Consider the following 21,399-nt stretch of genomic DNA (forward strand, 5'->3'; position numbering starts at 1 on the left):
CGCCATTCTCCTGCCTCAGCCTCCCAAGTAGCTGGGATTACAGGCGCCCGCCACCATGCCTGGCTAATTTTTTGTATTTTTAGTAGAGATGGGGTTTCACCATGTTAACCAGGATGGTCTCGATCTCCTGACCTCGTGATCCGCCCGCCTCGGCCTCCCAAAGTGCTGGGATTACAGGCATGAGCCACCACGCCCAGCCTCAAATTCATAATTTTTAAAGCTCCCCAACAATTCTGATATCAGCTACATTTGGAAAATCTCACATTTTTCATTTGTGATGACAGTGATTAGGTGGAACCAGAGGTGGGATTAGGACCAGGCCCCAGACAGCCATTCAACACTCTCCCTTCTTAACCTGTTGCCATTCCTGAAAACGTATATAGTTGAGTATCCCTAATCTGAACATCCAAAATCAGAGACTTTTTGAGTGCTGACATGACACCAACAAGTGGAAAATTCCACATCTGATGTCATGTGACAGGTCACAGTCAAAACTTTGTTTTGGCCGGGCATGGTGGCTCACGCCTGTAATCCTAGCACTTTCGGAGGCCGAGGCGGGTGGATCATGAGGTCACAAGTTCAAGACCAGCCTGGCCAAGAGGGTGAACCCCTGTCTCTACTAAAAATACAAAAATTAGCTGGCGCAGTAATAGGCACCTGTAATCCCAGCTACTTGGGAGGCTGAGGCAGGAGAATCGCTTGAACCCAAGGGTGGAGCTTGCAGTGAGCCGAGATCATGCCACTGCATTCCAGCCTGGGTGACAGAGTGAGACTCCGTCTCAAAAAAAAAAGAAAAAAACTTTGTTTCATGAAGAAAATTATTTAAAGTATTATATAAAGTTACCCGCAGGCTATGTGTAGAAGGTATATCTAAAACATAAATGAGACCCCTGTTTCCACAAAAATTCAAACAAATTAGCCAGGTAGGATGGTACACGCTTATATTCCCAGCTACTCCAGAAGGCTGAGGTGGGAGGATGGCTTGAGCCTAGGAGGTCAGGGATGCAGTGAGCCGTGATCATGCCACTGTACTCCAGCCCTAGGTGACAGAGCAAGGCCCTGCCTCAAATAAATAAATAAATTGGCCGGGCGCAGTGGCGCACACCTATAATCCACACACTTTGGGAGGCCGAGGTGGGCGGATCACCTGAGGTCAGGAGTTCGAGAGCAGCCTGGCCAACATGGTGAAACCCTGTCTCTTTTTTTTTTTTTAGTTTTAGTAGAGGCGGGGTTTCACCATGTTGGCCAGGCTTGTCTCGAACTCCTGACCTCAGGTGATCCACCCGCCTCAGCCTCCCAAAGTGCTGGGATTATAGACATGAGCCACCGCGCCCGGCCAGTGAAACCCTGTCTCTACAAAAATATAAAAATTAGCTGGGCATAACGGCAGGTGCCTGTAATCCCATCTACTGGGAAGGCTGAGGTGGGAGACGCTTGAACCGGGGAGGCGGAGGTTGCAGTGAGCCAAGATTGCGCCATTGCCTTCCAGCCTGGGCAACAGAGTGAGACTCCATCTAAAAAAAAAAAAAAAGAAAAGAAAAACAAAACAAATAAAATAAAATAAATAAATTTTGTGTTCAGACTTGGGTCACATCCCCAAGTTATCTCAGTATATATATATATACAAATATTGAAAAATCCAAAAAAAAATCCAAAACACTTCCAGTCCCAAGCATTTTGGATAAGGGATACTCAAACTCCAATGTCAACTCCAAGTCCAGACCATTTCCCCCTCATAAAATGAAGTGTTGGAGTCCCACTTGAAAATCCAGGAGTGGCCGGTACAGTGGCTCACACCTGTAATCCCAGCACTTTGGGAGGCTGAGGCAGGAGGGTCGCTTGAGCCCAGGAGTTTGAGACCAGCCTGGGCAACAGAGCAAGACCTCATATCTACAAAAAAAGAAAAAGAACATCAAGGAGTGGTTCTGTGACCATTTTATTCAATCAAGAAGAGTATCTAACTTAAGCCCAGTTCTTTACCAATAGGTGCTTTGAGATCTCACACTGCATTAGGCCACTGTACTCCAGTGTCCTGTCACTTTCCAGGCCCTGGGACTTATGAGTTAATCAACCCTGTCCTCTTTACAACCATCTTCCAGGTCTGAAACTATGTATGGCAATAACTCCAATTACATAAACAGCAGATACTAAAAAACTACTGGCGTTGGTCTTTTATGATTTTGGAAGTGGCAGGTTTCTTCCAAATTTATATTCTTTTGGGAAACCTTTGAAGTGTGTGGGAATTTCTTGAAAGCATGCAAGCTCATCACAGGGTGAGTCAGCCTCAAAAATCCCCAAGGTCAGAAAGATGTCAGCTTGGGTTTAACACTTGAGGGGGGTCATGCAGTCACAGTCACGTGCTACCTACACTTTACAAGTACTTTACTAATCTACTAATCTAATGGAAAATGATGTTTACAGGGGAAACCAGCAACGCCACAGGGAACAGAGGGCAGCATACTTTGAAAGTGTGACTCACCTACTACATAATTACCCTTCACCAAAAGGAATTTGTGATATAGTACCGGAAAACTTTTTTTTTTGTTTAAGGTAGGTTATTACAAAGCCCAAGGCGTACGAACAGGCCAAAGGGTAGGCACATGGACATACAGGGCAAGAGCAGACAGGTATCTCTTAGGGTAACTCCCATAGCTGGATCTGTATGGCCAGTTGACTAAGTCACGGTTTTACAGGACTGTTAGAAATCAAGTGAAGTCTGTATACTAGATTCTATTGGAAGAAAATGGTCAAAATTAAAGTCCAAAAAAGGATTTTGGAAGGAAACCTATAATGTAGCATGTAATGCCAATGGCAGCAAATACTCCTAGATAAACTGTTAGAGCTGGATGGAATCTCAGAGTCATGTTCGAACCCAACCTGCTGTTTTACTGTTAAAGACACAAGACCAGACAGAAAGTGACATGTCCCAGTTCACACAGCTACTGCGGAGCATGGTTGAGACTTGCCTTCAGCATCCTAATGCCCCAGTCACCGTATGTCCTATTAGAATAGATTCAGCTGATCTGGATTAGCAAAATGGAGTGGATCACCACTGCATTCCAGATATCACAAAGCCTCAACTGTCACCCCCTCTTTTGCCCAGAATATTAAGACCTATTACTGGTCCTTTGATATTTCAGATTTTTTATTTGTTAAATTATGGCTGCAAAAAAAAGGCAATTGTTAAACTTACACCTTTATATTCAGTTTCACAATTTACTGAATGTCTCCTCTAAGTCAGGAATCATCCTGGGACATGGGAAGCACAGATGAACAAGATGTTTCATTACGTATCGTGCATTCCGTAACAATGCAGGCTGCCCCTATCGTGTGACTATGATGGAAGGAAGCATTTTGAGCAATAATGACAAAGGAATTTGATTATTTCTGTCTGGTTCCTGGTGAGAACTAATCCACATCACAAAAGCTCAATAGTTTCAGCCCTCTTCTGACTAACAAGGGCAAGAATAGCAGAACAGCCAGGATGTCAGCACCAATTCAAGACATACACTCTGAGACTTCAACAGCAAGAAATTTCTACTCAGAACCCTTGGGGAGACCAGGGTAAGGTCTGGCAACAGAAGACAAGCTTGACTTGACACCAAAGTTATAACTCCTGTATCTGGCCAAAACCTACTGGAGACATGAGTTCCAAGAAAGCATATTTGACTTGTTCAAACATTTCAACTTTGGAACAACTGGAAAAGTGACAGACAAAGTTTGCTGGACGAGAACCCAAGGCAGTTCCACCTCATTCCTACCTCCCAGTGACCAGCAAGTTTGGGTGGAATCTCCAATCCCAGCTTCTCCAGCTCTCGCTCCCTGTACTTCTCATACTGCCGGTACCCTGCATACCCGCCGCCTGTCACCAACAGAATGGGCAGGGGACGCAGCAGGAACATGGTTCGGGCAGGGGCAGTGTGGATTTTTCTGGCATCTGTAATAAAAAACAGGACAATTTCAAGCCTGAGAGACAGGAATAGGGAAGAGTCATGCAAACACAGCACCAACAGGAGGGTCAGGAAAAGTCAGCGCACCTCAGAAGCCCTCAGTAGGGGACCAGGCACATGGCTCACGCCTGTAATCTCAGCACTTTGGGAGGCCGAGGCAGGCGGATCACGAGGTCAGGAGATCGAGACCACGGTGAAACCCCGTCTCTACTAAAAATACAAAAAGAAAACTTAGCCGGGCACAGTGGCGGGCGCCTGTAGTCCCAGCTACTCGGGAGGCTGAGGCAGAATGGCGTGAACCTGGGAGGCGGAGCTTGCAGTGAGCCGAGACTGCACCACTGCACTCCAGCCTAGGTAACAGAGCGAGACTCCATTTCAAAAAAAAAAAAAAAAGAAGCCCTCAGTAGAGGTGACTGGACCCTCAACATATCTAGCAGGCAGGTGCAACCTTGGGCCACTACTCAGACCCTCCTGTCTCCAAATTCTGTCAGTACGTACAGGACAGGCATCTTTCCTATAGAATTACAATGCACCTCAACTGCCACCGCAGTCACAAAATGTATTAATAGATGAAAACACTGAATCGCAAAGAGGTCAAGAAACTAATCAAGGTTGCCCAGGTGGTCACCAACAGGTCCAGAACTTGAAGCCAAACACCATTTCTCACCCAGGGCTCTTTGATCTTGCTTTTATAATGCAGGCCCAATTTTGATCAGGCACTGGTATTCTCTCTCAAATGCAAAATCTCATAAACTCTTACAGGTCAACAATAAAAAGACAAATAGCCAGGCACAGCGGCTTGCACCTATAGTCCCAGCTACTAGGTAGGCTGAGGTGGGAGGATTGCTTGAACCCAGGAGTTCAAGGTTACAGTGAGCTATGATCACGCCACTGCACTCCAGCCTGGGCAACAGAGTGAGACTCTCTCAATCAATCAATCAAAATGTGCAAAGGATTTGAATAGACCTTTGTCCAAAGGAAAAATACATTGGCCAATAAGCACAAGAAAAGACAGAGGCTAAATATCTGTTATGCGTTAAATTGCTGAAAACTCCCCCAAAACTCTTATGTTGAAGTTCTAACCCTGAGTACCTTAGAAGGTGCCCTTAGTTGGCTGGAGAGAGGGTCTTTACAGAGATTATCAAGTTAAAATGAGGTTGCAGGCTGGGCATGGTGGCTCAGGCCTGTAATCCCAGGACTTTGGGAGGCCGAGGCAGGCGGATCACGAGGTCAGGAGATCGGGACCATCCTGGCTAACACGGTGAAACCCCGTCTCTACTAAAAATACAAAAAATTAGCCAGGCATGGTGGTGGGTGCCTGTAGCCCCAGCTACTCGGGAGGCTGAGGCAGGAGAATGACATGAACCCAGGATGCGGAGCTTGCAGTGAGCCGAGATCCCACCACTGCACTCAGCCTGGGCGACAGAGCGAGACTCCATCTCAAAAAAATAAATAAGTAAATAAATAAATAAAATAAAATGAGGTTGCCAAGGTGTGTCCAAATCCAATATGATGGGTGTCCTTATAAAAAGGGAAAATCTAGAAACAGACATGCACACATGGAGAATACCAGGTGAAGCTGAAGGCAGAGATTGGAGTGATGCTTCTATATGTAAGGAATGCCAGAGATTGCCAGCAAAACATTGGAAGCTAGGCAAGAGGCATGGAACAGATTCTCCCTCACAGCCCTCCAAAGGAAGCAACCCTGACACCTTGATCTCAGACATTTAGCCCTAGAATCATGAGGCAAATGTCTGCTGTTCAAGCAACCCAGTTTGTGTTGCTTTGTTACAGCAGCCCTAGCAAACTAATACAACATTATTAGTAATCAGGGAAATGCAAATCAAAACCACAATGAGACCCCTTCACACCCATCGGAATGGCTATAATCAAAAAGACATAATGAGGCCGGGCACGGTGGCTCAGGCCTGTAATGCCAACACTTTGGGAGGCCAAGGTCGGCAGATCACTTGAGGCCAGGAGTTTGAGACCAGCCTGGGCATCATAGCAAAACTTCATCTCTACTAAAAATACACAAATTAGCCAGTATGCACACAGTCTTTGAAATATTAAAAAAACAACAAAAATTAACAATAAAAATTAGCCAGGCGTGGTGGTGCACATCTGTGTCCCAGCTACTTGGAGAATGAGAATTGCTTAAACCCAGGAGGTGGAGGTTTAGTAAGCCGAGATTGCATCATTGCATTCCAGCCTGGGCGACAGAGCAAGACTGTCTCAAAAAAAAAAAAAAAGAAAAAGAAAACCTAACGCTTCAGTGATAACTGCATGCCAGGTACTTTCCACATACTAACTCATTTAACTCTAACAACAACCCTATGTTTATCCCAATTTACAGATGACCAAACTGAGGCAGAGAGAGGGTCACCACCATCTCTAATTGCTCCTTACCTGTGCGAAAGGCTCTAAAAGGCAGCTTCCGTAAGGGCTGTAGGGATTGGCTCAGGGCAGTGATCTCACAGGGATGGAGGCTATAACCAAGCAAAAATGAACCATTAAATATTATTCTTAAAATTAAAATTACTGGATTAATCGGCAAAATTTAAACACTCAATAACAATATTGTAGCAATGTAAATGTCTTGGTTTTGACAACTGTACTGTAGATAAGAAAATGTCCTTGTAGGGGAAGGACTGAAATATTTATTTATTTATTAATTCATTCATTCATTCTTGAGACAGAGACTTGCTCTGTCACCCAGGCTAGAGTGCAGTGCCGCAATCTTGGCTCACTCCAACCTCTGCCTCCCGGGCTCAAGTGATTCTTCTGCCTCAGCCTCCCTAGTAGCTGGGATTACAGGCACCCGCCACCACACCTGGCTAACTTTAGTATTTTTAGTAGAGATGAGTTTTCACCATGTTGGCCAGGCTGGTCTCAAACTCCTGATCTCATGTGATCCACCAGCCTCAGCCTCCCAAAGTGCTGGGATTACAGGCATGAGCCACCAGGCCCAGCCTAGAAAAGGGCTTAAAAGCAAAAGGTCATCAAGTTGGCAAATTGCTCTCAAGTGTCTCAGGAAAAGAATGTATATGTATACACACACATATACATATAAACAGAGATGGAAGATGATAAAGCAAATAGGGCTGACATTTGAGGAATCTAGGTAAAAGGTATTTGGGAATTCTATGTACTATTTCTATAACTTTCTGTAAGCCTGAAACTATTTCCCAATAAAAAGGCTTTTTGGGTTTTTTTTGGGAGGCCGAGGCGGGCAGATCACCTGAGGTTGGGAGTTCGAGACCAGCCTGACCAACATGGAGAAACCCCATCTCTACTAAAAATACAAAATTAGCTGGGTGTGGTGGCACATGCCTGTAATCCCAGCTACTTGGGAGGCTGAGGCAGGAGAATCACTTGAACCCGGGAGGCAGAGGTTGAGATGAGCTGAGATCGTGACATTGCACTCCACCCTGGGCAACAAGAGCAAAACTCCGTCTCAAAAAAAAAGGAAAATACTATTCTGGTTCAGTTACTTTCTCTTCTTTGTTTCATCTTTGCCTGAAGAAATAAGACATATTCCCAGTGGCAATAAATGACTATGCCAGCAAGCAAAGCATTAATGAGTTTTTAGTTGAGTTTCCCCTTAATCAAAGAGGAAATATCTCACTTTCAGTTCAGATATCACTTCAGTTTCACCAAATACTGACCTGAAATCTAAAGTTAAAAAACTGTATCCGAGTCAATAAACATTTTTTTCCTTGGAACCCTTTATGATAGAATAATTCACTCTATTATAAATGTTTAAATTGATATTTTTGTGAAAAATAGAATTGCATTTATTACTTTCACACTATAATATTTACTTTCGTGGATATTTAGTTATGTCTTTTGTGTGTGTGTGTGTGTCTGTGACAGAGTCTCACTCTGTTACCCAGGCTGGAGCGGATTTTGGCTCACTGCAACCTCCACCTCCCGGGTTCAAGCGATTGTCATGCCTCAGCCTCCTGAGTACCTGGAATTACAGGCGCATGCCACTGCACCTGACTAATTTCGTATTTTTAGTAGAGACAGAGTTTCACCACGTTGGCCAGGCTGGCCTCAAACTCCTGACCTCAAGTGATCCACCTGCCTCGGCCCGCCAAAGTGCTGGGATTACAGATGTGAGCCACAGCACTTGGCCCAAGTTATGTCTTGTATAGATATCCTACAAATGTTATCAGATTTAGGTACTTTCCTTTTTTCACATAAAATTTCCTTGCCTTACAAACACCTGGCTGAGCACATGATGGCTCACGCCTGGAATCCCAGCACTTTGGGAGGCCGAGGTGGGTGGATCACTTGAGGTCAGGAGTTCGAGACCAGCCTGGCCAACATGGTGCAACCCCGTCTCTACTAAAAATACAAAAATTAGCCGGGCGCGGTGGCACACATGCTGTAGTACCAGCTACTCGGGAGGCTGAGGCAGGAGAATCACAAAACAAAACAAAACAAACACCCCCCTTGCCAGGCTGGGCATTGTGGTTCACAACTATAATCCTGGCACTGTGGGAGGCTGAGGTGGGAGGATTGCTTGAGCCCAGGAGTTCAAGACCAGCCTGGGCAACATGGTGAAACCCCATCTGTACAAAAAATACAAAAATTAGCCGGGCATGGTGGCATGTGCCTGTAGTCCTACCTAACCAAAAAGTTGAAGTGGGAGGATCGCCTGAACCCAGGAGGCAGAGGTTACAGTGAGCCGAAAACACGCTACTGTACTCCAGGCTGGGTGACAGAGTAGGACCCTACCTTAAAAAAAAAAAAAAAAAAAAACCACACCCACCTTGCAGCATAGCACTATTGTAGCTAACATGATGAATCTGATTCTCCTATAGGCAAACAAGGAGAAAAAGCATCTTACCATGACGAGCACCACCCCCAAGGCCAGACAGCTATTAACACAATGAAGGGTATATTTCAGTATATGAAAGTTCTTTCAGTTCTGAACAATGTTCATTTCTTAGACTGGATACTCCCACTGCCACAGCAAAAAGCCTAAAACCCTGCTTTCTAAACAGAATTTTAACGAGAAGTGCAAAAACGGACTGAAGGATAAATTGTTGTGTTCTGTACATTGCCGCATTGTGTTTTCCAGAATACTGAAAAACCCCTAACTGAAAGAATGTTTGCACAATGATTAACAAGGCTTTGTCTGACAGGAGGAAATAGGAATGGGAGATGATCATTTATGTATCCACCGTAACTGGACACAGGGCACTCAGGTGGTTTGTTTTGCATATCCATCTTCCCCCTCAGGAACCCTGCCCAAGAACAAACAGCTCAGCTTTTTGTCCACCGCTGTAGTCCCAGCTGCTGGAACAAATACTGGGAAATGCTTCATTATATCAGTTTGGTACATCAGATTTAGGTACTTCCCTTTTTTCACATAAAACTTCCTTGACTTATAAACACCTAGCTGAGCATGGTGGCTCATGACTGTAATTCCAGCACTTTGGGAGGCCAAGGCGGGTGGATCACTTGAGGTCAGGAGTTCGAGACCAGCCTGGCCAACATGGTGAAACCCCATTTCCACTAAAAATACAAAAATTAGCCAGGTGTGGTGGCACACACGCTGTAGTACCAGCTACTCAGGAGGCTGAGGCAGGAGAATCTTATTACGGGATCGTCCCGATTTTCATATGAATGCTGTCATTTCTTCAGTCTTACACAAACACTGTCTACCATGCTATCATTCTTTGGTCCTCCCTACTTTTCTGCTCTCCTTCATTCCAAGCCTAAAAAGAGCTCTCCACTCACTGTTACCACTTCCTCACCTCTCAGCCTCTCTTAGTCCCACTCAGTAAGGTTTTGTTCCTATCACACCACCTCATCAAGGTCACCAACAACCTGCATGTTGCCAACACCAATGCACACACATATCTGAGGTCTCATCTTACTTGACGTCTCAGCAGCATGACACAGTTGATCCTTCTCTCCTTGAAACACTCTTCACTGGGCTTTTGGGACCGTGATTTTTTTCCTATTTCTCTGGTTTCTTCTCAGTCTCTATTTGTGAATTCTCCTTTGCTTCCTAACTGTGGATTCTTGCCATGCCCAGGGTTCAGATCTCTTCTCTACCTATAAACTCTCCCCAGAGATGCTTATCCAGTCCCATGGCTTTAAAGAACCATCCACTGATGACTCCTTCATTGCTCCTCCAGGGGCCAGCTACCCAATGGCCCCATTTTGAGTCCTCTCAAACTGAGTCTGTAGAAGACAGGATTCCCGACCCTCTCTAACTCACCTTCAATCTGCTCCTGCCCGAGTTCTCTATCCATAGGAGAGACTAGCCAGATGTTTACCAAATGCACTTCCTCTTCTGGACACCTGTTAGACTAAATTTCCCAGCCTCCTGTGCAGCAAGGTGTGGCCATGAGACTAAGTGTGAACCAATGAAATCTGAGGATCATTCGGGCTTCCCAGGCATTCACCTCCAAGCTTACCCCCACCAGCCAGCTTGATGCAGACAAACATGCCGACTGTGGGAAGTATTAAAGATGGCAGGAAGGCCAGGCGTGGTGGCTCACACCTGTAATCCTAATACTTTGGGAGGCCAAGGTGGAGGAATTGCCTGAGCTCAGGAGTTTGAGACCAGCCTGGGCAACACGGTAAAACCCAGTAGCTACTAAAATCCAAAAAATTAGATGGGCGTGGTGGTGTGCCCCTGTAATCCCAGCTACTGGGGAGGCTGAGGCAGGAGAATTGCTTGAACCTGGGAGGCAGAGGTTGCAGTGAGCCGAGATCACGCCATTGCACTCCAGCCTGGGTAACAGAGCAAGACTCTATCTCCAAAAAAAAAAAAAAAAAAAAAAAAGACGGCAGGAGACTGGGTCCCTGAACATTGCTTGGAGAACAGCTGCCCTGCCAATCAGGAACACCCAATGCAGCTTTACAAGAGTGAGAAACTTCTACGGTGTTAAGCCACTGAGAATGCTGGAGTTTATCTGTTACAGTACCAACATTACTATAATTAACACAACAGGTCAAAAAAAGGTACCACCGTTCATCCAGCCACTCAGGTACAACCCCCTTTTTTTTTTTTTCCCAGAGATGGGGTCTCGCTTTGCTGCCCAGGCTCAAGTGCAGTGGCATGATCATAGCTCACCGCTGCCTCAAATTTCTGGGCTCAAGGCATCCTCTCACCTCAGCCTCCTGAGTAGCTAGGACTACAGGTGTGCACCAGCACACTTAGCTAATTTTTAAATATTTGTGGAGATAAATAAGGTCTTGCCATCTGGCCTAGGCTGGTCTCAAACTCCTGGATTCAAGTGATCCTCCCACCTCAGCCTCCCAAAGTTCTGGGATTACAGGCATGAGCCACTGCACCAGGCCAGGACTCGTTTTTGTTTTGTTTTGTTTTGTTTTTGAGATGCAGTCTCGCTCCGTCACCCAGGCTGGAGTTCAGTGGCGTGATCTCAACTCACTGCAACCTCCGCCTCCTGGGTTCAAGCAGTTCTTCTGCCTCAGCCTCCCAAGTAGCTGGGATTACAGGCACAAGCCACCACACCCAGCTAATTTTTGTGTTTTTTTAGTAGAGACAGGGTTTCGCCATGTTGGCCAGGCTGGGCTCGAACTCCTGACCTCAAGTGATCCACCCACCTTGGCCTCCGAAAGTGTTGGGATTACAGGCATGAGCCACTGCACCCAGCCCAGGACTCATTTTTAAGTCCTTTCTTTCTCATCATCCACATTCAATCCACTGGCAAGGCAATGAAAACTACCACTGGCCAGGCTCAGTGGCTCACGCCTGTAATCTCAGCACTTTGAGAGGCTGAGGCAGGTGGATCACCTGAGGTCGGGAGTTTGAGACCAGCCTCGCCAATATGGTAAAACCCCGTCTCCACTAAAAATACAAAAAACTAGCCAGCCAATATGGTGAAACCCCGTCTCTACTAAAAATACAAAAAATTAGACGGGTGTGATGGTGGTGGCCTATAATCCCAGCTACTTGGGAGACTGAGGCAGGAGAATTGCTTGAACCCAGGAGGTGGAGGTTGCAATGAGCCAAGATCACACCACTGCACTCCAGCCTGGGCATGACAGAGCGAGACTCTGTCTGAAAAAAACAAAAAAATAAAGGCCGGGCATGGTGGCTGACGCCTATGAGAACTCCCAGCACGTTGGAAGGCCAAGGTGGGCAGATCACGAGGTCAGGAGTTCGAGACCGGCCTGACCAACATGGTGAAACTCCATCTCTACTAAAAATACAAAAATTAGCCAGGTGTGGTGGTCGGTGCCTATAGTCCCAGCTACTCAGGACGCTGAGGCAGAAGAATTGCTTGAATCTGGGAGACGGAGGTTGCAGGGAGCCGAGATCGCACACTGCACTCCAGCCTGGGTGACAGAGCAAGACTGCGTCTCAAAAATAAATAAATAAATAAATAAATAAATAAATAAACAAAACAGAAAGACAAGATCCCACATCTTGTCAGCCTCTCAGATCTCTAGCTACTTTCCCTCTCTTCCTCCTCACTCACTCCTCTTGCCGCTCCTTGTCCACACCACATGTGCCCCTTTCCACACTCCTCCATTTGCTGTTTGCTATGCTGGGCACACCCCTCTCCTATGTGGCTCACTCCCACATCATTTAGTTCTCTGCTCAAATGTTACCTCCTCAGTGCAGTTTTTCCTGAGCACTGTATGCCCAAGAGTTGGCCCTCTTGAACACTAACTTCTTAATTTTTAAAAAAAATTTTTCTGGGTATGTAGTAGGCATATATATCTATGTGTTACATGAGCTAGTTTGATACAGGCACGCAATATGGAATAATCACATTAGGTAAATGGGATATCTATCCCCTCAAGCATTTAAGCTTTGTGTTACAAACAATCCAGTTATACTCTTTTAGTGTTTTGTTTTGTTTTTTTGAGATGGAGTTTTGCTCTGTCGCCCAGGCTGGAGTGCAGTGGCATGATCTCAGCTCACCGCAACCTCCGCCTCCTGGGTTCAAGCAATTCTCTGCCTCAGCCTCCCGAGTAGCTGGGATTACAGGCACCCACCACCATGCCTGGCTAATTTTTTGTATTTTTAGTAGAGATGGGGTTTCACCTTCTTGGCCAGACTGATCTTGAACTCCTGACCTCGTGATCCACCCGCCTCAGCCTCCCAAAGTGCTGGGATTACAGGCGTGAGCCACCGCACCCAGCCTTTTAGTTATTTTTAAATGTAATAATTTTAAATTATTTTTGACAATAGTCACCCTGTTGTGCTAGCAAACACTAGGTCTTATTCATTTTATTTTATATATTTTTTTGAGATGGCATCTTGCTCTGTTGCCCAGGCTGGAGTGCAATGGCGCAATCTCAGCTCACTGCAACCTCTGACTCCCAGGTTCAAGGAATTCTCCTACCTCAGCCTCCTGAGTAGCTGGGATTACAGGAGCACACCACCACACCCGGCTAATTTTTTTTTGTAGTTTTAGTAGTGACAGGGTTTGTTGGCCACGCTGGTGTTGAACTCCTGACCTCAGGTGATCCACCCGCCTGGGCCTCCAAAGTGCTGGGATTACAGGCGTGAGCCACTGCACCCAGCCCATTTTATTTTTTTGATACCCATTAACCATCCCCATTTCTTCCCATCCCCCCACTACCCTTTCCAGCTTCTGGTAACCATCCTTCTACTATCTCCATGAGTTCAACCGTTTTAATTTACAGCTCCCACAAATAAGTGAGAACATGCAAAGTTTGTCTTTCTGTTGAGCACTAACTTCTTAATTATCTTGCTTTCTTTTTCTTCATGGCATTTCTTATTACACAAAATGAATGGATTCTGCATGTATTCAGTTATTTGTTTACTGTATGTATACCTCGATGAACACGGGGTTTATCTGTGTTCTCACTGGCCTTCAATCTCAATAGTGACAGTATGCCCCAGAAAGATGAATGGATGGGTTCAAACAGATGTCTCTTCTACATGCATTCTACATCGCATCCTTCAAGTAGGCAATTAAAGCCCACAATTGAGCACTCCAGTCTGCCTGTGCAACTCAAATCTCAGCGCTGCCACTTCTTAGCAGCTGTGTGACCTTAGGAAATTTCTTAACTAATCTTAAGCCTCAGTTTCTCCACCTGCAAAAACAAAACTCACCTCATTAGAAGACAATCATGCAAAACCTTAGCTCAGGGCCTGGCACCTAGTTAGACTGTTATTATTAAGAGTTGATATTCAGCTGACATACACTGAGATGGTCATATCAATCATCTATGACCAGCATTCACTCTCACTAGTCTGTCTCCATGGCATCCTGGTTATAAGTTTGTTTGTTTGTTTGTTTGTTTTTTGAGACAGGGTCTCACTCTGTCACCCAGGCTGGAATGCAGTGGTGAAATCACAGCTCACTGCAGCCTCGACCTCCTGGGCACAAGTGAACCTCCCACCTTAGCTTCCCAAGTAGCTGGGACCACAGATGTGCACCCAGCCATTTTTTGCGGAGAGGAGGTCTCACTATGTTGCTCAGGTTGGTCTCGAACTCTTGGGCTCAAGCAATTCTCCTGCCTCAGCCTCCCAAAGTGTTGAGATTACAGACATAAGCCACCACACCTGGCCAGTTGCACTATTTTTTCTTTTTCTTTTTTTTTTTTTTTTGAGACAGGGTCTCACTCTGTTGCCCAGGCTGGAGTGCAGTGGCATGATCTTGGCTCACTGCAGCCTCAACCTCCTGGGCTCAGGCAATCCTCCTACCTCAGCCTCCCAGGTGGCTGGGACTACATGTATGCACCACTATGACCAGCTAATTTTTGTGTTTTTTGTACAGATGGGTTTTTGCCATGTTGCCCAGGCTGGTCTTGAACTCCTGAGCTCATGCAATCCACCCGCCTTAGCCTCCCAAAATGCTGGGATTACAGGCATGAGACACCACGCCCAGGCCTAAGACATTTTTAACATCACCCCTAGTAGTAACATTTTGCCTATAGTCCTTATGTCTCCCTTGCTTTCTAAAGCTGTGAAAGTTCTCCTAAAACAGAACGGACAGACCTCTTGAAGGCTTTATCCCGTATTCCACCATGTATTACAAGTATATAGTAAAGTTCCTTGAAGACAAGGCCTATTTCAAATGTTTTTAATTTCTTCATTTGCTCCCCTTCCCTTCTCTCTTCTCCCTTCTCTATGGTCCGTTGACAGTGTGGTTTGCAGTGGTAGGGATGCCATAAATATTTCTGATGGAAGTCATGCACGAGAAGCTACTTCCTAGGTACTATTGTCCGTACTTGCCTGAACCTAAGAATCACCTGTAAAAACTACAGTTGCCAGAGCCCCAACTTATATCTACTGAATCTGAAATTGGCAGTAGGATGGGGGCATATCTGGAATCTTTTTTTTTTTGAGACGGAGTCTTGCTCTGTTGCCGAAGCTGGAGTCCAGTGGCGTGATCTCGGCTCACTGCAACTTCCGCCTCCCGGGTTCAGGAGATTCTCCTGCCTCAACCTCCTGAGTAGTTGGGACTACAGACACACGCCACCACACCCGGCTAATTTTTGTTAGAGACGGGGTTTCAGCATGTTGGCCAGGCTGGTCTCGATCTCCTGACCTCATGATCCACCCACCTTGGCCTCCCAAAGTGCTGGGATTACAGGCATGCGCCACCGTGCCCGGCTTTGTTTTTTTTAATCAGCCAGCCTCCCAAACTACAGCAGGCTCAGAGAGACTCCCAAGGAATCTCTATTTCTAACAAGCATCCCAGCCCATTCAGCCCATTCTTTTATCAAATGAGTTTAGGAAACATGGCCCTAAATTATCACCCAAGATGTTATCTATCACCTGTCACACATCACCCAGTTATTGAAAAACTTACCTGAAATATAAGGTTTTCATTTACATGTCTCACAAATAGGCACTGGTTTACTAAAAACCCACAGAAATGTTATCTTTTTGGTTTGTGTATTAATATCATTTCTATCTTGATATAGAATACCTTTGAAAATTAAGGTTTCTTATTGTACCCAAATCTTCATCTCTCTCACCCACTGCATCTAAGTCTAGCCTTATCTATCTACACTGGTACTAAAACATAGCTTTTTTTCTTTCCCTTTTAATGATGGTGACTGAGGTACAGCCTCCTCTCATCATTTAAAAAAATTATTTTAGGTGGACTGCGATGGCTCACTTCTGTAATGCCAGCACTTAGAGAGGTGAAAGTGGGTGGATCACTTGAGCCCAGGAGTTCAACACCAGCCTGGGCAACATGGTGAAACCCTGTCTCCACCCCCACCCCCAAAAAAAATGCAGCTGGGCGGGGTGGCGTGCACCTGTGGTCCTAGCTACTCAGGAGGCTGAGGTGGAAGAACTGCTTGAGACCAGGAGGTGGAGGCTGCAGTGAGCCATCATCACACCACTGCACTCCCTCTTGGGCAACAGAGTGAGGCTCTGACTTCCAAAACAAATAACAACAACAAAAAACAATTTTTTAAGAGTCTCATTTTAGTCCTTTCAATTCGTGACACACTTTATTTATTTTTAATTTTTTTGAGACAGAGTCTCACTCTGTCGCCCAGGCTGGACTCCAGCGGCGCAGTCTTGGCTTATTGCAACCTCCGCCTCCCAGGTTCAAGCAATTCTCCTGCCTCAGCCTCCCAAGTAGCTGGGATTACAGGTGCCTGCCACCATGCCCGGCTAATTTTTGTATTTTTTAGTAGAGACAGGGTTTCACCACATTGGCCAGGCTGGTCTCGAACTCCTGACCTCAAGTGATCCACCCACCTTGGCCTACCAAAGTGCTGAGGTTACAGGCGTGAGCCACCGCGCCCAGCCTGTGACACACTTTAAATGAATTCAGGGTTGACTCATACACAGCACGCCTGGTAATAACATTGAAAACAAAGTCTCCTGCCCAAATTCTAACAGTTACCACCACAATGCAGAGCCCTCTCCTGAGAGATAATCATTTCTGTACAGTTAATGATGAAAGAGTGACGCTTTCATAACAAGACCAATGATGGTTTCTGTTCCCTCTCAGTCCAAATCCAGTGTCCGTCTCCTCCCAAAACAATAGGTTATCCTCTGATCAACGCTGACAAAATGAACCCTGTAGGAAACACACAAGTATGGCGCATCTCTCAAATCTTAGCTCTTTGAAATGACACCAGGCAGCCGACTCTGAATCACAGCTACATTTTAATCCATTTTCCGACACTCCAAATGCTCTAAGCTATTTTCTGTATAACCACTGCCCTCACGGCGGGCAGCCTGAGAGAAAGATCGTCGCGTGAGGGGGTACCTTGATGGGGGTCCGGGCTCTGCTACAAACTGGCTAGGTGAACTTGAGCAAATCCCTCCCTCTCTCGGAGCCTCAATCTCATTAACTCCAAAGAGAGACAGCTGGACTCAGAAGACCCCTCAAGTCTCCCACATTTCTAAGAATCTAACAGCTGGGGGTCACAAGGGTAACCAAGACTCTAGCCCCATAACATATTGTTTTGAGATTACCTAACCTAACCCTCTAGCTTCAAAGACTAAGATCCAGAAATGAAAGTTGCCTGACACTCAATCTAGTGTCCTTCCCACAGGACATCATTCCTTCTACGAAAACGAACACACGAGAAAATGGCATCTGAACATCTGAAAGCCCTGCCTCGACTCAAGAGACGGGCAGGTAGCCTATTTCATCTGATTTTTGTCCCTCGTGAACTTCCACCTAGCTGGAAAGGGCAAAGCGCGAGCTTCTAGGCCACACCCTAAGTAAATCCGGACCGCCCTACGCAGGAGCAGTCGCACCTGCTCCTAAGCTCGAGGTGAAGGTGGCTCCGTCTCCACCCGAGCTCGCCTCAGAGCGAGCCCGCGACACAGAAACATCTCTCTTCAGACCCCAGCTTGGTCCAGGTTGCCCCACGCCCCAAGGTAGTCTCTCCGCGCTGCTATACCTGCTCCGCCACGGCGCGACCCCGTGCAGTAATCCCAGACATCGGTGCCCCACGGACGTCGCCATCTTGTCTGCTCCTTCTCAGCGTGCCACGCCCCCTTCACACGCTGGGCGCACGCTTAAGGCGTCACGAGTCTCGAGTTCAGTGGGCCAATGAGAAAAGCGCGGGTTGGGGGCGGAGCCGACTAAGCTCCGCCCTGTGGCTACTCCCCACCTAACCCGCTTGGCACCTGCGGAGGTAGGGGAACTAGTGGAGCTGTAGGTTTCGCTAAACCTGGGCTTGGTCGCAGCACTGCCACTCCTCCTCCTTCCCTCTGGGTGCCTTTCCTCATGTACCTGGAAAATCTGAGTCATCCAAGATCCAAGAATGTCGTTTCAAGTGATCGAACTTGCTCATTTTACGGATGGGGAAACTGGGCATCCATGACTCAGCTCTCGTTTTTTAAGCGCCGGAGTGTGTTGTGAGCACTTTGCAAGCATGGTGTCATATCATTCTTATCTCCTACCGCTGTGCTGCCAGGGAGACCGGGGGCAAACGGTCTTGGATCACCTAGAAATGCAACCAGTCGTTAAATTCGGTGCCTGGTGCTTGCTCTTGAAAAGGTTCCTATCTTCAATTGTAAGAGGAAAACGAGTTTTCAATCATGTCTGCTACTTTTTACTGAGCACTGACTAGAGACTCGCAGCTAGGCCCGAGACATTATCCCCATTTTAAAGATGAGGTACCTGAGGCTCAGGAAGGTTAAGCAACATCTTCAAGGGTACATAAAGGGCATATGCCCAAAGACTATAAAATAGTGAAGCCAGAATTTGAACATACGTCTCTGACTCCAAAAACCATGTCCTAAACATCTTCTTCTTTTTTTTTTTTTTTTGAGACAGAGTCTCTCATTGTCGCCCAGGCTGGAGTGCAGTGGCGCGATCTCGATTCACTGCAAGCTCCGCCTCCCGGGTTGACGCCATTCTCCTGCCTCAGCCTCCCGAGTAGCTGGGACTACAGGCGCCCGCCACAACGCCCGGCTAATTTTTTTATATATATTTTTCGTAGAGACGGGGTTTCACCATGTTAGCCAGGATGGTCTCGATCTCCTGACCTCGTGATCCGCCCGCCTCGGCTTCTCAAAATGCTGGGATTACAAGCGTGAGCCACCGCACCTGGCCTAAACATTCTTCCTTTTAAGCCCTTTGTCAGAATCTGGCAGAATTTGGGTCCAACAACTGAAGGAATGCAGCCCTACTTTTTCATCTGCTAAGCTGATAATCACAGTTGCCTTCACCAGGCATTTGACAGGAGGAGGAATATGCTCCCTGGTCCCTGCAGGTATTTCTGTGTAGTTGGCTTAAGTTCAACTAGGGCATACTCAGCTCCTACAGAGAGCTTAAAAGGCACCAGGTTTGGTATTGGGGGGAAGAAACCTCCCTTTGTCATGGTTTTCAAAAGTCGGAAAAGAAAAAAACAAATGTATAGAATTGGTTTTGGCCGGGCGCAGTGGCTCACGCCTGCAATCCCCACTCACTGGGAGGCTGAGGTGGGAGGATAGCTTGAGCCAAGGAGTTGAGACCAGCCTGGGCCGGGCGCGGTGGCTCACGCCTGTAATCTCAGCACTTTGGGAGGCCGAGGTGGGCGGATCACGAGGTCAAGAGATTGAGACCATCCTGGCTAACACGATGAAACCCCATCTCTACTAAAAATACAAAAAAAATTAGCCGGGCGTGGTGGCGGGCGCCTGTAGTCCCAGCTACTCTGGAGGCTGAGGCAGGAGGATGGCGTGAACCCGGGAGGCGGACTTGCAGCGAGCCGAGATCGCGCCATTGCACTCCAGCCTGGGTGACAGAGTGAGACTCCGTCTCAAAAAAAAAAAAAAAAAAAAAAAGGAAGTAAAAAAGAGACCAGCCTGGACAACATAGTGAGACTCCATCTCTTTTTTTTTTTTTTTAAGAGGCTGGGCACCGTGGCTCACCCTATGATCCCAGCACTTTGGGAGGCCAAGGCGGGCGGATCACCTGAGGTCAGGAGTTCGAGACCAGCCTGGCCAACATGGTGAAACCCCATCTCTATTAAAAATACAAAAATTAGCTGGGCATAGTGGCGCCTGCCTGTAATCCCAGCTACTCCAGAGGCTGAGGTACGAGAATTGCTTGAACCCGGGAGGGGGAGGTTGCAGTGAGCTGAGATAATGCCATTGCACTCCAGCCTGGGAGACAGAGTGAGACACCATTTAAAAAAAAAATACATATTGGTTTAATTGGTTTTACTATCCAATTGAGAGTAGTAAACCAGCAGGGAATGGGGGGAAATTATTTCCAAATGAAGTGCATTGGGAAAACTGAATATCCATATACAAAAAGTAAAGTGCAGCCTTACACCATATACAAAAATTCATTCAAAATGGATCAGAGATGTAAACTGAAGAGCTAAAACTATAATACTCTTAGACGAAAACATAGGGGAAATCTTCATGACGTTGGATTTAGCAATGATTTCTTGTATATGACGTTAAAAGCACAGGCAACAACAACAAAAACAACAAAAAGATATACTTCGAAATTAAAACTTTTGTGCATCAAAGAACACTATCAAGAGAGTGAAAAGACGCTGGGCGCGGTGTCTCACGCCTGTAACCCCAGCACTTTGGGAGGCCAAGGCGGGCAGATCACCTGAGATCAGGAGTTGGAGACTAGCCTGGCCAACGTGGTGAAACCCTGTCTGTAGTAAAAATACAAAAATTAGCCGCATGTGGTGGCGCAAGCCTGTAATCCCATCTACTCGGGAGGCTGAGGCAAGAGAATCACTTGAATATGGGAGGTGGAGGTTGTGGTGAGCCGAGATCGTACCATTGCACTCCAGCCTGGGCAACAAGAGTGAAACTCTGCCTTAAAAAAAAGAGAGAGAGAGAGAAAAGGCAACCCACAGAATGAAAGAAAATGTTTGCAAATCATGTATTATCTGATAAGGATATTTGCTCATTACTGTCATGTAGATGGGTGGGGAAGAACCTATTTTTCCAAGCTTACAGGAAAATAAATAAATAAATGGCTCACTGAATGCTTTTAGAATAAAAGTCTCCAACTTTATTTTTTGAGACAGAGCCTCACTCTGTTGCCCAGGTTGGAGTGCAGAGATGCGATCTCGGCTCACTGCAGCCTCCACCTCCCGGGTTCAAGCGATTCTCCTGCCTCAGCCTTCCGAGTAGCTGGGACTACAGGCGTGCCACACACCCAGCTAATTTTCGAATTTTTAGTAGAAACGGGTTTTCATCATGTTAGCCGGACTGGTCTCAAATTGCTGACCTCAAGTCTGCCCGCCTCGGCCTCCCAAAGTGCCAGGATTACAGGCGTGAGCCACCGCGCCGGGCCTGACAGTCTCAAACTTTAAAGCACGCTTCCTGCCCACCAAGGCTTGCGCTCGCTGTGCCTCCTTCAGTAGGAAACAGCATTAACTTCCGTAAGATCCTGTCTTTTGAGACCCCGTCTCAAAAAAAAACAACAACAAACCGACTTAAGCACTCGAATCTTCGGCAGCTTATCTATACATTTGGATATCACTTAACCTCATGGAATTGTGAGGACAAAATAATGCAGCGTAAGTTCAAGGC

At 46.5% G+C, this 21,399-nt stretch overlaps 1 protein-coding gene across 11 annotated transcripts in view, besides 11 other annotated features; it reads right to left on the reverse strand.

Moving 5' to 3' along the window:
• PISD (phosphatidylserine decarboxylase) overlaps nucleotides 1-18,225 on the reverse strand; it is a 44,074-nt gene extending 25,849 nt beyond the window's left edge. For 5 of the 11 annotated variants that reach the window (NM_001326411.2, NM_001326414.2, NM_001326419.2 and 2 more), the window contains exons 1-3: nucleotides 17,805-17,876; nucleotides 6,360-6,439; nucleotides 3,762-3,937 (exon numbers count right to left, since the gene is read on the reverse strand). In NM_001326411.2, coding sequence (NP_001313340.1) covers nucleotides 3,762-3,937; nucleotides 6,360-6,439; nucleotides 17,805-17,869 — 321 coding nt within the window. In that variant the 5' untranslated portion in view covers nucleotides 17,870-17,876. Of the gene's footprint in view, nucleotides 1-3,761; nucleotides 3,938-6,359; nucleotides 6,440-17,804 lie in introns of all 11 variants that reach the window. The other 6 variants (NM_001326420.2, NM_001326418.2, NM_001326413.2 and 3 more) reach the window with 2 other exon arrangements.
• Nucleotides 1,997-3,196: an enhancer, noted in NCBI's record as "BRD4-independent group 4 enhancer chr22:32042322-32043521 (GRCh37/hg19 assembly coordinates)". NCBI's record gives its function as "activates an origin of replication core promoter dependent on BRD2, P300/CBP, MED14 and CDK7 cofactors, and independent of BRD4, by STARR-seq in HCT116 cells {active_cell/tissue: HCT116}" and the evidence as "EXISTENCE:reporter gene assay evidence [ECO:0000049][PMID:35650434]".
• Nucleotides 2,210-2,259: an enhancer, noted in NCBI's record as "active region_18866". NCBI's record gives its function as "activates an Ori minimal core promoter by ATAC-STARR-seq in GM12878 lymphoblastoid cells {active_cell/tissue: GM12878}" and the evidence as "EXISTENCE:reporter gene assay evidence [ECO:0000049][PMID:35858748]".
• Nucleotides 2,270-2,379: an enhancer, noted in NCBI's record as "active region_18867". NCBI's record gives its function as "activates an Ori minimal core promoter by ATAC-STARR-seq in GM12878 lymphoblastoid cells {active_cell/tissue: GM12878}" and the evidence as "EXISTENCE:reporter gene assay evidence [ECO:0000049][PMID:35858748]".
• Nucleotides 15,713-16,607: an enhancer, noted in NCBI's record as "H3K4me1 hESC enhancer chr22:32056038-32056932 (GRCh37/hg19 assembly coordinates)". NCBI's record gives its function as "activates a minimal SCP1, AML or CMV promoter by ChIP-STARR-seq in naive H9 embryonic stem cells {active_cell/tissue: H9 hESC(naive)}" and the evidence as "EXISTENCE:reporter gene assay evidence [ECO:0000049][PMID:30033119]".
• Nucleotides 16,608-17,501: an enhancer, noted in NCBI's record as "H3K27ac-H3K4me1 hESC enhancer chr22:32056933-32057826 (GRCh37/hg19 assembly coordinates)". NCBI's record gives its function as "activates a minimal SCP1, AML or CMV promoter by ChIP-STARR-seq in naive H9 embryonic stem cells {active_cell/tissue: H9 hESC(naive)}" and the evidence as "EXISTENCE:reporter gene assay evidence [ECO:0000049][PMID:30033119]".
• Nucleotides 16,608-18,109: a biological region, named in NCBI's record as "P300/CBP strongly-dependent group 1 enhancer GRCh37_chr22:32057235-32058434".
• Nucleotides 16,797-16,936: an enhancer, noted in NCBI's record as "active region_18868". NCBI's record gives its function as "activates an Ori minimal core promoter by ATAC-STARR-seq in GM12878 lymphoblastoid cells {active_cell/tissue: GM12878}" and the evidence as "EXISTENCE:reporter gene assay evidence [ECO:0000049][PMID:35858748]".
• Nucleotides 16,910-18,109: an enhancer, noted in NCBI's record as "P300/CBP strongly-dependent group 1 enhancer chr22:32057235-32058434 (GRCh37/hg19 assembly coordinates)". NCBI's record gives its function as "activates an origin of replication core promoter dependent on BRD2, BRD4, P300/CBP, MED14 and CDK7 cofactors, with strong dependence on P300/CBP, by STARR-seq in HCT116 cells {active_cell/tissue: HCT116}" and the evidence as "EXISTENCE:reporter gene assay evidence [ECO:0000049][PMID:35650434]".
• Nucleotides 17,327-17,376: an enhancer, noted in NCBI's record as "active region_18869". NCBI's record gives its function as "activates an Ori minimal core promoter by ATAC-STARR-seq in GM12878 lymphoblastoid cells {active_cell/tissue: GM12878}" and the evidence as "EXISTENCE:reporter gene assay evidence [ECO:0000049][PMID:35858748]".
• Nucleotides 17,617-17,916: an enhancer, noted in NCBI's record as "active region_18870". NCBI's record gives its function as "activates an Ori minimal core promoter by ATAC-STARR-seq in GM12878 lymphoblastoid cells {active_cell/tissue: GM12878}" and the evidence as "EXISTENCE:reporter gene assay evidence [ECO:0000049][PMID:35858748]".
• Nucleotides 20,642-21,143: an enhancer, noted in NCBI's record as "H3K4me1 hESC enhancer chr22:32060967-32061468 (GRCh37/hg19 assembly coordinates)". NCBI's record gives its function as "activates a minimal SCP1, AML or CMV promoter by ChIP-STARR-seq in primed H9 embryonic stem cells {active_cell/tissue: H9 hESC(primed)}" and the evidence as "EXISTENCE:reporter gene assay evidence [ECO:0000049][PMID:30033119]".

Source organism: Homo sapiens, chromosome 22 (assembly GCF_000001405.40).
Source record: "Homo sapiens chromosome 22, GRCh38.p14 Primary Assembly".
Classification (NCBI taxonomy): domain Eukaryota; kingdom Metazoa; phylum Chordata; class Mammalia; order Primates; family Hominidae; genus Homo; species Homo sapiens.